This window comes from Homo sapiens, chromosome 3, assembly GCF_000001405.40.
Source record: "Homo sapiens chromosome 3, GRCh38.p14 Primary Assembly".
Taxonomy (NCBI): Eukaryota; Metazoa; Chordata; class Mammalia; order Primates; family Hominidae; genus Homo; species Homo sapiens.
The window spans coordinates 158,613,241-158,630,021 of NC_000003.12; the positions used below are offsets into that span (position 1 = coordinate 158,613,241).

The 16,781-nt window shown below is 39.2% G+C and overlaps 1 pseudogene, besides 2 other annotated features; it reads right to left on the minus strand.

Moving 5' to 3' along the window:
- Nucleotides 13,202-13,703: an enhancer, noted in NCBI's record as "H3K4me1 hESC enhancer chr3:158344231-158344732 (GRCh37/hg19 assembly coordinates)". NCBI's record gives its function as "activates a minimal SCP1, AML or CMV promoter by ChIP-STARR-seq in naive H9 embryonic stem cells {active_cell/tissue: H9 hESC(naive)}" and the evidence as "EXISTENCE:reporter gene assay evidence [ECO:0000049][PMID:30033119]".
- Nucleotides 13,416-13,609, minus strand: RFKP6 (RFK pseudogene 6; annotated as a pseudogene).
- Nucleotides 13,704-14,203: an enhancer, noted in NCBI's record as "H3K4me1 hESC enhancer chr3:158344733-158345232 (GRCh37/hg19 assembly coordinates)". NCBI's record gives its function as "activates a minimal SCP1, AML or CMV promoter by ChIP-STARR-seq in naive H9 embryonic stem cells {active_cell/tissue: H9 hESC(naive)}" and the evidence as "EXISTENCE:reporter gene assay evidence [ECO:0000049][PMID:30033119]".

The window sequence follows — 16,781 nt, forward strand, 5'->3', positions numbered from 1 at the left end:
TGGGTTTGAGACTTGATGTCTTACCAATTCTGGAAAATTATCAACCATTATTGCTTTGAATAGGGCTTCTTTCTAATTCTGTTATCTATTTTTGGAACTCCCAAAAGATATCTGTTAGATCTTCCCACATTATCTGCATCTTAGTTCAGGCTGCTATAACAAATTATATAGTCTGGATGGCTTAAATGACAAACATGTATTTGTCATTGTTCTGGCAACTGGAAGTCTGAGATCAGGATGCCATCACGGTTGGGTTCCGGTGAGGGCCCTCTTTCAGGTTGCAGATTGCCGACTTCTTCTATCTTCACATAGTGGAAGGAGCACTAGAGAACTCTCTCTGGCCCCTCTTATAAGGGCATTAATATTCATGAGGGCTCCACCCTTATTAACTAATTAGCTCCCACAGATCCACCTGCTAGTACCATTATATTGGGGGTTAGGATTTCAACATACGAATTTCGGAGGGGAGGTGAGGAGCAAACATTCAGTCCATAACATCCTCCATGTCTTTTAATCTTTTCATATTTCCTACCTCTGTCTTTTCAGGCTGCATTTGGGATAGTTTCTTTAGCTCTACCTATCACTAAAGTGATATTCTCTCTTTAGCTCTGTTTATTCCTATTTTTAACCCTTCTGCTATGTCATTAATGTCAGTTATTTTTCATTTCTACAAGTTCTATTTGGTCCTTTTTCAATTTTGCTTGGTATCTATAGTCTCTTGTTTCCTGCTCAAATTTTCATTTTGCTCTTTTATTACTCTTAACATATGCATAATATTTTCTGTGTCAAATAATTCTAATTATTTGAAGACTATTTCTATGTTTGTTGTTTCTACCGGTTTTACTCATGTTGCTTGTTTCCCTGTGTTTTGTAGTTTTTTATTTATTTATTTATTTATTTATTTTTTTTTTTTTTTGAGACAGAGTTTTTCTCTTGTCACCGAGGCTGGAGTGCAGTGGCACGATCTTGGCTCACTGCAACCTCCACCTCCTGGGTTTAAGCAATTCTCCTGCCTCAGCCTCCTGAGTAGCTGGAATTACAGGCACCCGCCACCACACCCAGCTAATTTTTGTATTTTTGGCAGAGATGGGGTTTCACCATGTTGGTCAAGCTGGTCTGGAACTCCTGACCTCAGGTGATCTGCCCACCCAAACCCCCAAAGTGCTGGGATTACAGGCGTGAGCTACCATGCCCGGCCTGTAATTTTTTTCTATGAACTCATTTTTTTTTTCCCTTGGACTTTTTATCTGTGGGAATCCTTTTTTTTTTTTTTTAATTTTTTGTCACCCAGACTGGAGTGCAATGATGCAATCTCTGCTCACTGCAACCTCTACCTCCTGGATTTAAGTGATTCTCCTGCCTCAGCCTCTGAGTAGCTGAGACTAGAGGTGCCACCATGCCTGGCTATTTTTTTTTTTTTTTGGCATTTTTTTGTAGAGACAGGGTTTTGCCATGTTGCCCAGACTGGTCTCGAACTCCTGGGCTCCAGTGTTCCACCCGCCTCAGCCTCCCAAAGTGTTAGAATTACAGGCATGAGCCACTGCACCCAGCCAAGAATTATTTCGTCCTGTATTGAAGGTTTTTTTTTTTTTCTCTCTCTCTCTCTCAAAAAGGATTCCTATGTTGTTCTTCTAGCTGCAGTTGCTTGGGGATAGCAATTGGTCAATATGGATAATCTTAAATTCAATTATCTGCATCCTCTCCAGCATTTGTTACTGTTTGTCTTTTTTAATAATAGCCATCTTAACAGGGGTGAAATGATACTTTATTGTGGTTTTGATTTGCATTTCCCTCATGATGGGTGATGTTGAACATTTTTTTTTCAAATATTTTTTGGCCATTTGCATGTTGTCTTTTGAGAAATGTTTGTTCAGATTATTTGTCCATTTAAAAATCAGATTGTTTGGGTTTTTTGCTGTTAAAATGTTTGAGTTCCTTATGTATTTGGGATGTTAATCCCTTGTCAGAGAAGCAGTTTGCAAACATTTTCTCCTATTTTGTACATTTTCTTTTCACTCTCTGTTTGATTTGTTGTGCAGAAAATTTTTTAGTTAGATATAATCCCATTTGTTTACTTTTGTTTTTGTTGTCTGTGCTTTTAATGTTTCATTCATAAAATCTTTTCCCATACCAATGTCCTGAAATGTCTCCCCTATGTTTTTTTCTATTAATAATAGTTTTATCATTTAGGTCTTACATTTAAGTCTTTCATCTGTTTTGAGTTGATTTCTAAGGTAAGAGGTGGGGGTCTAGTTTGATTCTTCTGCATATGGATATCCGGTTTTCCCAGTACCATTTGTTGAAGAGACTGTTCTTTTCCCAGTGATTATTCTTGGCAGCTTTGTCAAAAATCAGTTGGCTGTGAGTATGTGGATTAATTTCTGGATTCTCTATTCTATTTCAGTAGTCTATATGTCTATTTTTATGCCAGTGTCATGCTGTTTTTGTTACTACAGCTTGTAGCATAATTTGAGGTCTGGTAGTTTGGCACCTCCAGCTTTATTCTTTTTTCCTCAGAATTGCTTTGGCTGTTCAGGGTCTTTTCTAGTTCCACAAGGAATTTTAGAATTTTTTTTTCTATTTTTGTTAAGAATGTCATTGGTATTTTAATAAGAATTGCATTGAATCTGTAGGTTACTTTGGGTAGTATTGTCATTTGAACAATATTAATACTTCCAATCCATAAGCATGGGATGTTTTTTCATTCGTTTGTACCCTCTAATTTTTTTCATCATTGTTTTATAGCTTTCCCTATAGAGGGCTATTATTCCCTTGGTTAAATTTATTCCTAGGCATTTATCTTATTTTTTATAGCTAAATGGGGTTGCCTTCTTGATTTCTTTTCAGCTAGCGCACCGTTCATGAATAGAAATGCTACTGATTTTTGTATATTAACTTTGTATCCTACAAGTTTACCAAATTCCTCTATTAGTTTTAACAGTTTTTTGGTAGAGTCTTTAGGTTTTCTGTATATATAAGATTATGTCATCTGCTAACAGGACAATTTGATGCCCTCCTTTCCAATTGCATGCCCTTTATTTCTTCCTCTTGCCTAATTACTCCACCTGGGACATCCAGTACTATGTTGAGTAAGAGTGGTAAGGCTGAGAATCCTTGTTTTTGTATCAGTTCTTAGAGGAAAAGATTTGAGCTTTTCCCCATTCAGTAAGATGTTAGCTATGGGTTTTTTTTATGTAGCCATTATTACATTAAAGTTATTTCCTTCTATACCCAATTTATTAAAAGTTTTTATCATGCAGGGATGTTGAAGTTTTCATCAAAAGCTTTTTCTGCATCTATTTTGATGATCATGGTTTTTGTCCTTCATTCTGTTGAAGTGATATATGGCATTTATTAATTTGCAAATGTTGAACCATTCTTGCATTTTTATATAAATCCCACTTCATTATGTTGTATTATCTTTTTGATGTGTTGCCAGATTTGGCTTGCTAATAGTTATGTGGAAGATTTTTGTGTCTATGTTCATGAAGGATATTGGCCTTCACTCTTTTGTGTGCCCTTGTCTGGTTTGGTATCAGAGTTATGCTGGCCTTGTAGAATGAGTTAGAATGAGTTAGAAAACATTGCCTGTGCTTCAATTTTTTTGGAATGGTTTGAGGATAATTTGTATTCATTGTTTTTTAAATGTTCACTAAAATTCAGTGGTGAAGCCATCCAGTCCTGGACTTTTCTTTGTTGGAAGATTTTTTCTTTTCTAACAGATTCAATCTCATTACTTACGATTGGGCTGTAGAAGTTTTCTGTTTCTTCTTGGTTCAATCTTGATAGGTTTTATTTGTCCAGGAATTTAGTCATTTCCTCTACATTTTCAAATTCATTAGTGTATAGTTGTTCACAATAGTCTCTAATGATCCTTTTTATTTATCTGGTATCTGCTTGTGACTTCTTTTTCATTTATGATTTTATTTATTTAGGTCTTCTCTTTTTTTCTAAGTTAGTCTAGCTAATGGTTTATTAATTTTGTTTAACTTTTCCAGGAACAAGCTTTTTGTTTCATTGATCTTCTCTATTATTTTTTAGTCCCAATTTTATTTATTTCTGTTCTAATCTTTATTATTTATTTCCTCCTACGAGTTTTGGGTTTTGTTTGTTATTGCTTCTCTAGTCCCTTAACGTGCATTGTTAGGTGCATTTATTTAAAAATGGTTCATGCTGTTTTTATTAGGGGTTATTGTTTGGAAAATTAAGTCTTCTCTCTCAAAAAATGAAGGTTTTTGCCTTTTTTTTTTTTTTGAAATCCTTGCAAAATGGTTTGGCTGTGTCCCCACCAAAATTTCATCTTACAACAAACAGAACTTGAGGGGAAAAAAGTTGTATGAGCTGAAAATGAATTGAAGGAGAGTGTTACTATTTCATGCCCTTTAAAAAGGGAGAGAAAACTGAAAACAGCAAGACGCAATAAAAGTTGAACTTTGGGTTAAAAAAATTAAAATCTCTTATAATTTATTAAGAGTAAAACAATCCTGGCCGGACGCAGTGGCTCATGTCTGTAATCCCAGCACTTTGGGTGGCCAAGGTGAGTGGATCACGAGGTCAGGAGTTCAAGACCAGCCTGGCCAAGATGGTGAAACCCCGTCTCTACTAAAAATATGAAAATTAGCCAGATGCAGTGGCAGACGCCTGTAATCCCAGCTACTCAGGCAGCTGAGACATGAGAATCACTTCAACCCGGGGGATGGAGGTTGCAATGAGCCAAGATCACACCACTGCACTCCAGCCTGGGCGACAGAGTAAGACTCCATCTCAAAAAAATGAAAATAAGAGTAAAACAATCCTGTAAGAGAATTTCATTGTTCTAATCAATTATTTAGTGTACAAGTGTTTTTTTTTTTTACATCAAGCCCAATCTCTAGAAAGACCATTATAATTTCCCTTTAATTACAGACAACTTGATCATTATATTTGATTGTATACAGCTTGTTTTGTTTTTTTTAATCCTCCTATTGTGACTGACACAGACCATTCATGACATGCTTGGACTTTCTGGTTTGTCCTGAACATCCCTCTTTCTTAAACAATCATTTTATTCAAGGACTAAATTTACCATACAAGATTCTTTCTCATATAAAATTATTTTTCCTTAAGCTTTCTTACCAAAAAAATACCTCTTTATAACTTTCTTTACATCTCTGTTATTTCCTGGTTCCTTTTGCCTTGTTTTATGTATAACAAAGTTATTTAAAAATAAGCTTTGAATTAGGCAAAAATTCTTCACCTTGTTAAAAAGGACACACTTTTTTTGTTTTTAGAAAGTTTTTCTACAGTATGTTTTTATTGGAAAATACCCAAATAATGAAATATCTGTTATTTAACATCACATTAGATTCTAAATTATGATATGTGTGTCTGCAAGTATTTATCCCATTACATTTACCTAATTATTTTAACCATTTTACCTAGATATTTTATGAAAACTGCACTAGTCATCATTTAAAGTTATGGAACCACCATTGCAAAATTATAGCTGAGACAGTGAAAAAGATCTGATCTAACTGACTCCATCTTGTTTCTAACCTCCAAGCTGTCCTTGTTCATTCCTGGGCACAGGCCAAACTAACTTTTGGAATAACTTAATTTATAGTTTAGCTTTGAAACAAAGATGATAACTGTCCTTTGCCAATACAAACCTTACTGCCTGTGGCCAGACTGCCTAAAGCCACAAGATTAGAAGTTATGCTAATCTTACTGAATTCAAGATGTAGCTATTTTCATTAAACCAATATCAATGTCTTATTTATTTAAAATTACACAAGCAAAGATCATTCTATTTTGGACCAAGTTTACAGTTTTGTAACCCCTATCCCAAATTTTGACACCTTATAGTCAAATTTGGCAGGGATAAGTATAAAATTGCTTGATTGATAAATGTAAACAAAAGGGTATACTGGCAAATCTTAAGACATTTCTAATATTACTTTACCAATAATTTTAAAGCTAGTTTATTTATTAAAGATTTTACTTAAGTTACATGAACTTGAAAGAGCATTTAACTTGTCTTCTCTTTTTTCCTGATAAAGTATTTCATTCAAGTGCTTTTATTTTCTTATGCCAATTAATTAGAGCTCTTACATATATTTTCAGTAGTGAAACATTGTGTACACAACACATAAAACATAGATGTATTAGGTATGCCAGTAGAAGTACATCTTATAAATTCATAAAGACCCTTATTTTTCATACCTTAGACTTTCAAATTCTTGATAACCTATTTCACCACCCTAGACAGTTGTCAGCTAAATAGCCCTACATTTGCATATTAAAGGAAACAACTCAGGTGAAAATCAAATAGCAAAATTTATATCATGAGGTACAGACAGAAAAAGTCTGGTGTGCTAGAGGGAAATTAAAATGGGTTTAATTGCCAATTAAACATAAAATTATAGAAATTATGAAGGCCTTTTAAATACACACACACACACACACACACACACACACACACACACACACACACAAAGACCCTAAAGCATTTACTTCTGAACTTTAGCCATGAGATAAATAGAAATTCACCAGTTTGTGAATAAAAAAACTTGTTAGATCCAAACAGTGATTTTAATCTTTGTAGAAAAATAACAGCAGATTTTAAGCATGCGGAAAAGAAAGTAGAAAAAAAGAGAACTTAGGAACTCTACAGTTTGCAGGTCAACCTTAGGGCTCTTTTTCCTTAATGTAAATGTTCACAAATACCATATTACTTCCATTTTATGTAAACTCCGGCAAGTAGAGGTGCCATAAAACCTATGGAATGTTCAAAAGAGGGTCATTCTCCTTGTTTTCTCCTCATTCTTAGATTATTTGTTTGCTCTCCTTGCCCAGGCTGGAGTACAATGGTGCAATCTCGGCTCACTGCAACCTCCACCTCCCGAGTTCAAGCAATTTTCCTGCCTCAGCCCCCCAAATAGCTGGGATTACTGGCATGTGCTACCATGCCTGGCTAATTTTGTATTTTTAGTAGAGACAGGGTTTCTCCATGTTGGTCAGGCTGGTCTCAAACTCCCGACCTCAGGTGATCCTCCCGCCTCAGCCTCCCAAAGTGCTGGGATTATAGGCATGAGCCACCACACCTGGCCCTACTTCTTTTCTTAAAAGGAAGAACTGAGCTGTGGCTTAGGGTTTTTTTGTTGTTGTTGTTGTTGTTTTTGAGATGGAGTTTCATTCTTGTTGTCCAGGCTGGAGTGCAATGGCGCAATCTCAGCTCACCACAACCTCTGCCTCCTGGGTTCAAGTGATTCTCCTGCCTCAGCCTCCTGAGTAGCTGGGATTACAGGCATGCACCATCACGCCTGGTTAATTTTGTATTTTTAGTACAGATGGGGTTTCTCCATGTTTGTCAGGCTGGTCTTGAACTCCTGACCTCAGGTGTTCCACCCGCTTTGGCCTCCCAAAGTGCTGGGATTACAGGTGTGAACCACCATGCCTGGCCCTGGATTAGAGTTTTTGTGCGGTGGATCAATGTATGCTGCTTATGGGCAGGACTCCACAGTGTGTCACCACTGAGTTGTTTCCACCCCTTATATGTCTCAGTTTCTCTCTCCTGAGGTGAGGGCTCAAAATGTTGGGTAATCAGCCCTTATATGCTTTTCCTGGACAAGATTTTTTTTTTGTCTCTGTCACCCAGGCTGGAGTGCAATGGCGTGATCTCAGCTCACTGCAACCTCTGCCTCCCGGGTTCAAGTGATTCCTCTGCCTTACCCTTCCAAATAGCTGGGACTACAGGTGTGCCCCATGACCCCCGACTAATTTTTGGATTTTATTTTATTTTATTTAGTAGAGAAGGAGTTTCACCATATTGGCCAGGCTGGTCTCAAACTCCTGACCTTATGATCCGCCCACCTCAGCCTCCCAAAGTGCTGGGATTACAGGTGTGAGCCACCCTGCCTGGCTGCCTTTTTTTAAATCAATTTTTGTTGGGGATTTCCCTGTAGGGCCACTGCATGTTGTGAGGGGCTGCCGCAGACCCTGGTGGACTAAACAAAGGAGGATGAATGCAGGAATAAAGACAAAGACAAAAGTGTATCTTTGGAAGAAGGGGTCAGGGGGTTCCTTGCTTCTAGTGAACAAGGGCCCTGAGCTTCTAGAGCCCTTCGTATTTATTGAGTAAAAGAGATAGGGAGAAGGGGGTGGTTGTCAGTCAGCTGCTTGACTTAGGGCAGGCCTGCATGACTGCATTCTTTGAACAGTAGGCCCCAGATGTCCCAGTAGATAACCTCAAGGAGCATGGTGCCAGGGAGTGATTGCCCTCAGCATACCTTCTGGCAGCAGGTGCAGATGTGTTTGCCCACATCCTGCATTCATGATAAACAGTTTGCTGTTTGATCATACAGCCTCCAGTGGAATGCTGAGTTGGTCACAACCCTCAGGCTTTCAGCTCCCAACAAGGGGCCAACCCCCTAGATACTCCCAGGAGGCCCCCAGTCACCCAGGGGTGCCTTTTGGCTGGGAGGAGCAAAATGCCCTTTCTCTTCAGAGCTGAGAAAACTCAGCGTCTTGTTTACCTGTGAATTGAACAATAGTTCAGTTCCTCAGGCAAATGTGCACCAAGAAGCCAAATCAAGATTAATGTTCAGAGAAAAAGCAATAGAGAAGACCCTTTAGGATGCATCTCTGGACTAGAATTAGGATTGTTAAACAACTTCCTAGGAGAAAATAAAAAAACAAAAAACAAAAAACAGCCATGACCACTTCCTGTAAACTGTGCTCAACCACCCCAACACTGTAGTTCTTGTCTGCCATTACACATGCCTCTCACAGTACAAGGTAATCTCTGGTACCCCCAGAGCCAAAGAGGTCAGGAAAAAAGAGCTTTAGACCTAAGAAGTGTCTGCCCATGATTCTTGACACTCCACAAAGAAAACAGAACACACCAAAAGGGGTGAGTGGTGGCTTTGTTCTGAATTCTTTAAAGGAGTTCAAGTCATTAGAAGCCTTCTCTAGATTTTTTTTGATACTGCAGATGGCAAAGGGGGAAGGAGGTATTGGGTGAAAGAAAAGTAAATTAAAGAACATTTGGTTTTCAAGACAGGAAGCAAACACGGAAACCAATTGCATCGTATTTTTTGTTTTGTTGTGTTGGGTTTTTTTTCCTCTTGCAGCTGTGAGGAATTTTAGCCAAATTAGAGAGGCTTTGTTACCCATAATCTGGAATTCTCACTCAGATTTAACCAAGTCAGGTAGAGTTGGACAAATCTGATGAGGGGAAGACCAGAACAGACAACAACCAAAAACTCAACAATATGATCACTGAGCACTCTAATGGTAAGGAGAAATTAAGACCGGGTGCTTTTTAAGCTTAGCCAAGTTTAAGTTTAAGTTTTAAGTTTTTAAGTTTAGCCAAGACAAAACCCCAATTCAGCTATTTACCTAGGAACGGGTCTCAGGCTGAAGACTGCTTTACCATCCTACAAGCAGGAAAAAACTCAAACTTGTCTTTCTTGTTAGGAGTAAGCTCAAACTCTGTTAAAGGAGTTACCTGCCTTCCATCATCATGGAAGCAGGAAATCTTGCCTTCCTTGTTGGAAGCAAGTAAAACTCCAAAAATGGGAGTTGCACAGCAAAATAAACTTTAGATTTCGACCAAATTTTGGGAGATTAGGGATTCTCTGGAGGGGGTGTTCCCAGACCTCAGCAAATTGTCCTATTGGTTTGAGCCATAAAATTAGCTCATGCTGGTACCAAGCACTGATCAAAGATTTGTCAAAGATCTGTTGGATATAAAATGCTCCAGGAATAAATGCTTGGTGCAGCAAAGTAAAACCAGCACCCAGGCAAAATTTAGTTCTCTTGGCAAGGCAATTTACTTTTGCAAAAGGGTGCCACTCGCGTCAATCAAGATCGCAAGTGCACAGAGAACAAAGGAGACGAGAGGGTTTTTATCCTTAATGCAGTCCCTATCTCTGTGTCACTCCCCCATGGGCTGAAGTTGGACTGCACAATCTGAGCTGACCCAATTGGCTACTTGTATATATTTTCCTAAATATAGAAGGGGAGGGGGACATGAGGTACAGAGGTGGAGCGGGTGAGACATGCAGTTTCAGGGGAACAGTGGATACAGGTAACCAAAAGAACAGATGTGAGTTATTGATTAGAGCTGATGGGAAGTGGGTAGGCTGTTTACGGTAACTAGGGGCAAGGAAGAACAAGAGAGTTGAGTTTGAGAACAAAGGATAACGAAGTTAACAGGCTAAACCCTTTGAAGAGAAACTCAAAGATTTACTGTATCTTACAATTCCTCCCTTTTAATTTTCTTACGGTTCTTTCTCTTCAAAGTTTTATAACATGTCTTGGCTTTGCTGTTTGATTTTATCTTCTAAAAGGAAAAGCTTACTTGAATAAGGTGGAGGAGAACTAAGGGAGGCTTTAGTAAGTGCTGTTTGTACAATTCTTTGTATTAGCCCATGGATGCATGGTATGACACAACACCTAACGAGAATGAGTATGCCTATTATGACTGCAAGGGAAATAAGGATTGAGACCATGATTCCTTTCTATTTACTGAACTACTTTCCTAGCCATCCTGAAATGGGGTCATTGACTCCAGAATTTTTAGCTAATTCATTGGATAAAGCAGTACGTCTCTCCAAGGCCTTTGTTATGCTCCCATCAGGGGCAGTGTTGTTTGGGATGAAGATACAACATTGGGTTTTAATCATCACACAAACTCCACCTTTTTTTGGCTAATAACATGTCTAGAGCTATTCTGTTTTCCTAAGCCATTTGGCTAGTAGGCCTTAATTGGTCAGCTATTCCTTTGACAGCATCCCTGGTGTAATTAATAAACTGCTGCTGATTATAATAGATGTAATTTATCCAAGCTACATGTTTATTAATAGTTACTCATGGAAATATGGATTCAAATCCTGCAGCTATTTGGTCTCGGGCTTTGAAACTGTCAGACACTCCTGGGGGACTCCAGTGGCATCTGTGTAAACTTGAGAGTCAAAAGACCCATAAGGGGCTTCTCTTATTTTTTGGTGTTGTGGTTTTTCTTTTTCTGGTTGATGAAATGCCAGGGTGAAAGGGATAGCCAATTGGACAAGAGCACAAGTGCTGCTCCAGTTACTTGGCAGAGTATTCAGTAAGGGTCCACTGCAATACCACCATACATATGCTTGAGGATGACTAAGGGGAGACTGATGGGTAAGCTCTTGGAAGGGCTTAAGCTCACTGCATCCTATTAAGCAAATTTTCCCCCTGTTGTGAGAGACATGAGGTGAAATCGATGTTGGGAAACGGAAGCTGGATGGCCCTCAAGGGCTGACCTGCAGGGTGTTGGACTTCAGGATATAGCAGAGAGAGAGCTTGACACGATTTGTTGCCCCAGGCTGTGGAATCCTGGAAAAGAGCTACTATACAGCCTATGCCTGGTTGATTGAAGGACCATCCTAGTGGAAGGGGGACAATCTGTGCCTCTGGGCTGCTGTATGCACAAGCATAACAATTGCTTTTGTTTAATGTGCGGAAGGAATATTGAATCCATTCCAACCAGGCATTTACATCTTGATATCCTGTCTCAATTGTTAGGGTTTGTCTTAAATCTTTTACTTCTAAAATATTTACTTTGACATTGTTAGGTAGGGTAGAAGGTTCGGATGGAGAAGAAGAAGAGGGGTCAATAAAGCATGTTTTAAAGAAGCCTATATGGTCACATCCATTGGCCTCTGCTCCTAAGCCGTACAAGTGTTCTAAAGGGGTCGCAGGGTTGGTGGAGGTAGGGGCATTAATAGAGATCGTTACTGGGTTACAATGGTCAAGTTGACAATTAGAGGGGGTGGTTCCTTTGGTAAGGCAGAGGTAAGATTTTAGGTCAGTACAGCCTTATGGGAAGGTCCTGCCGTGTGCTCTGGTAGTTAGGATGACATCTGCACATTGAGAACATATCTCCTAACTTAGAGTGCCTTGGTACCCCTGCCATGAGCAAGGTGGAGGGTCAATGGCTTCTCTGAAGGAGCAGAGGTATTTTTCTTAAGTAGAGACATATCTTTGCCAGTATTCATCCTTTTGACAAGGCATGCCAAGGCAAGCATCAAAAGTAATGATTTAGGGTGAGTCTGGCCTAGTTACATTGATAACAAGGTCAGCAATATAATGAGGAAAGAAGAAAGGGTAGTAGACTAGATAAAAGAGAGTTAAAGTTTTCTTAACCTTAGTTTGAGGAGGTTTTTCTCTTGGATAATGACCCATGACTTCAGGGATGGTGGTGCTTTCTCGACTTGGGTATGATGGGTCCATCTTTTCTTGCTATTTGGACTATGGTTTCAGTGGTTAGAAGCACTAGGCCGGCTCCTCAGGCTGGTGTCAATGTACTGGAAACTCTAGGGGTGATGCCTGTACTGGAAAATTGTGAGTTCTGAAGGAAGAGAAAGTGGAAGATAAAGCAAGTATTCAGGAATGTTGGATTGCTTTGAGAGGCAGTTTGGATTCTTACTAGGGTAATAGGAAGTCAGAAGACATTTGATTTTTGGCAACAAAGTCTCTAGACTTGTTTGGCTAAGGGTGTAAATTCCTATACAGGTATAAACTTTGACCGTGCTATACATGGCTTGGGGTCTTTAATGGATCCTCTGATGTAGGTGGGATAGGACTGCCTTTATAAAAGGTTTGAATAACATTTCTCTGAGTTCCCTTTAGCACCTACAGGAGAAATGGCAGCTGGTCCAGCTTATCTGATTTGCTAGGTTATTTTCTTGACTCTTGAAAGACAGGCTTTTTGGTGCCTGGGGACATGGACAATAGCTATTTTTTCTTTTCTGGTAACTGAAGGCTATTCAACACTTGGGTGATTAACTCCTCATGAACAAGGCTTTGACTTTTACTATTCATTCAGTCTGAATTTTTCTAAATTTATGAGCCACTGTAAAGGCGTATTTAGAATTAGTATAGATGGTTCTCTCCTGATCTTGCAGATACTTTAAAGCTTGACTAAGTGCAGACAGCTTATAAATTTGGATAGACTACTTATTAAAACACTTTGATTTTATCTCTCTAGGAACTTTTATTAATAACTGAACACTTGTTGTGTTCTTTTTCCCTTAATCACTTTTGAGGGGGGTTTCTTTTAAGTTCTACTGGATGTTTGTATGGTAATCAGTTAAATCTAAACATGTGTGCTTTTAGATTTGGCTCTCTCGTTAAGAAACTTGCTAGGTTAAGCGAATTATCAGTAGTTAATGTTAAACCATCCTTTTTAACAGAATAGCCTCATACTTATACACATATAATTCTTTTCTGGTGGCACATTTTAATATAAAACATAAATATTAATATATAATATATATAAAATAAAACAATATATAATATAAATACATAATATACAACTTAATATAAAACTTAATATATATAATATATAAAATATAAAACTTAATATATAATAGAAAACTTTAAAGGATCAAAGTTCTTTTCTGGTGGATATTTTCACTTTTAACACTGACTTGACCACAATAAATGCTAGTGGATATATCAGCTGAAAGATTATCTACTCAGGAGACTTAGCTGCAGAGATGCCTAGCTGCTTGGAGCCATGGCTGAGGCCTGGTATTACTTGGCCCTGGCAAAAGTAAGGCAGATGTCCCATAATGTAGTCTGCTCAGGGCATAGGCTGGGACCTGGACTGTGTGTCTTGCAGAGCTGCCGTCAATGTGGTGCCGGGACCTTGGACCAGCCAGGGGGCAGGAGCATGGGCTTTGCCTGCCGCTGGGGCGTACTATGGGCTGGATGATGCCGACAACATGTTGCAGCTGATCCTTGATGTTGCTAGCCCGGCAAAAGCCACCGGCGAATTACGAGCTTGGAGTTCTTTTGGGGAGGGGGACTTAGGCTGGGCCTGAGGGAAGGGTTGGGTGTATTAGGTGGGGGACCAGGGGTATTAGGTGGAGGATGGCCTAGGGGATCCCGTGTGCTGTTCTCGTTTGCCAGGATTCCCTGAGCCCCTTCCCTCACTGGTTCTACAGTAGGGGCAGGGGCATAAGGGAAAAGGGAGGACAGGTCTTTGCTTCCAACAAAGAGCATAGACCAGTTTTTCTTGAGAAACTGGGCTTTTATTATTTACATGTTGAATTAAAAGTTGACATAGTATATCCTCAGTCGACCCAAACTTTGGCCAGAAGATTGAGGGATTGAGGTTAGGTCTTTGAGTCCAAATAGAACAGCAATATTTTATCATTTGTTGCTTTTATTTATGTTTAGTTCTTTCATTATCTTCCCAGCCTTTTAGCATGAGACCTAGAGGGTTATCAGGTGGTATATCTTTGAGACCTAAGGGACTATCAAGGGGATATCTTTGTTGCTAACTTCATCTTTTTTGCTTGTAATATTTCCCATACTGGGTCCTGGCTAGGCTCAATCCCTCTTATTAGGAATCTCTTGCCAATTTGGGGAGTTCCTTGTGGCTCAACCCCTCATATTAGCGATCTCTTGCCTATCCTTCAGTGGAAGCTTTGCTAAGGCTTAATTCGCTTATCTCCATCTGCTGGAGGTCCCTTGAACCCTTCTTTTGCTTCGTCTGCTCTGGCCACTTCCCTCTCGGGAATGTTTCAGGTCCCTCTTACCATTGATGGCGGGTCAGTATAAATCCCTGATGGGACCCCCAAAGGGCCGCCCTAAGCCATATGTGGTGACCACGGAATCGTAGATTGGACTCACTCATTCCTCACAGCAGTAGTGCTTGTTACCATTCATGCACTTTCAACCTCCAGAATGCCCCGACCACCCCCTCTGACCACCAAAGAAGTACTTTGTCGCCCCTGTGACGTTTCGTACCTTGGTCTGTGCACAGAGTTTACCTGGTCGCCACGGTATTGCAAGCCTCTCCTCCCCACGTTGCTGAGAGTGTGGGTTTATTCGTCACCAAGGGTGGGTCTCAATCTCACCTCCCTGAGGCCACCGCAGTGGGGCAGTGGGACACGTCTTGCCTGAGTAAGGAAGTTAACAGGCTAAACACTTTGAAGAGAACTCAGAAAGATTTATTGTATCTTACAGATCAGGGTACCTCTGCTCAGATTCCCTTCATGGATACCAAAATGTGAACCCCGAATATCTGAGACAGGTCTCAGTTAATTTACAAGGTTTGTTTTGCCAAGGTTGAGGACATATGCCTGTGACACAGCCTCAGGAGGTCCTAACAACATGTGCCCAAGGTGCTCAGAGCACGGCTTGGTTTTATACGCTCGGAGACATAAGACATCAGTCAACATACGCAAGATGAACATTGGTTCTGTCTGGAAAGGTGGGACAACTCAAAGCAAAAGCAGGACAGCTCAAAGCAGGGAGGGGGCTTCTAGGTCATAGGTTGATAAGAGACAAATGGTTGTATTCTTTTGAGTTTTCGATTAGCCTCTCCAAATGAGGCAATCAGATATGCACTTATCTCAGTGAGCAGAGGGATGACTTTGAGTAGAAGGGGAGGTAGGCTTTGCCCTAAGTAGTTCCTAACTTGACTCTTCCCATTAGCTAAGTGATTTTGGGTCCTCAAGATTTGTTTTCCTTTCACAAAAATGTGTACTCATAAAAATTTAGCTAGACATTTCATAGATTTCTGTGTTCTATTTTTCTCTTTGCAGAAAGCAAAAGTGGACTACTTTGATTAAAAGTGGTGATTAATAACAATAAAAATATACTTGGTACAATAATCATGGAAAAAATGAATATATATACACATAATAATGAATATAAATCTTTACTAAGGAAACAGTTCATTAAAGTGGTAATTTCAATATAGTAGATATACAATCTTATTTAATATAAGATTAGTTATCTGCATACTAAATAAAATATAAAATTAAAAATTAAAAACCTTTATTGTGTATTTACATAATCATGTATTTTAAAATAATACTTATAAAGGTATATAAAGACTAAATTTTTAGAAGTCTAAATAAAAAAGTTTATTTAAAGTATTTGATATGGTTTGGCTGTGTCCCCACCCAAATCTCTTCTTGAATTGTAGCTCCCTTAATTCCCATGTGTTGTGGGAAGGACCTAGTGGGAGGTAATTGAATCATGGGGGTGGGTCTTTCCCATGGTGTTCTCATGATAGTCAATAAGTCTCACCAGATCTGATGATTTTATAAAGAGGAGTTCCCCTGCACAAACTATCTTTTTGCTAGCTGCCATGTAAGACGTCCCTTTGCTCTTCCTTCATCTTCCACCATGATTGTGAGGCTTCCCCAGCCATGTGGAACTGTGAGTCAATTAAAATTCTTTCCTTTCTAAACTACCCAGTCTCGAGTATGTCTTTATTAGCAGCATGAAAACAAACTAATACCGTATTTTTAATGTTAATGGATTCATTCATTAAAGTGACTTAGAAATCCTTTATTGCATATTACTACATGGGATGATATACAAAAAGTAACTTTGAAATTCATCATTGAGCCTCTCATTTTCCTTTTCTTGTCCCTTGTACTTTTTTCAATTTACTTGATCTCATTCATTCATTCATTTAACAAATATTTATTAAACACCTCAAACATGTACGGAGACACAGTAATGAGCAAACAAAACTGTTGTCCTTATGAAACTTATATTCTCACATGGAGAGTCAGACAATACAAAGATATGTATGCAAAATGTCTGAATTTAAGAAGTGCTCTGAAGAAAAATGAATCACAGTGAGAAGATAGAAAGGGAGGGAGGGAGGCCAGGTGTGGTGGCTCACTCCTGTAATCCCAGCACTTTGGAAGGCCAAGGCAGGTGCATCATGAGGTCAGGAGTTCAAGACCAGCCTGGCCAACATGGTGAAACCCTGTCTATACTAAAAATACAAAAAT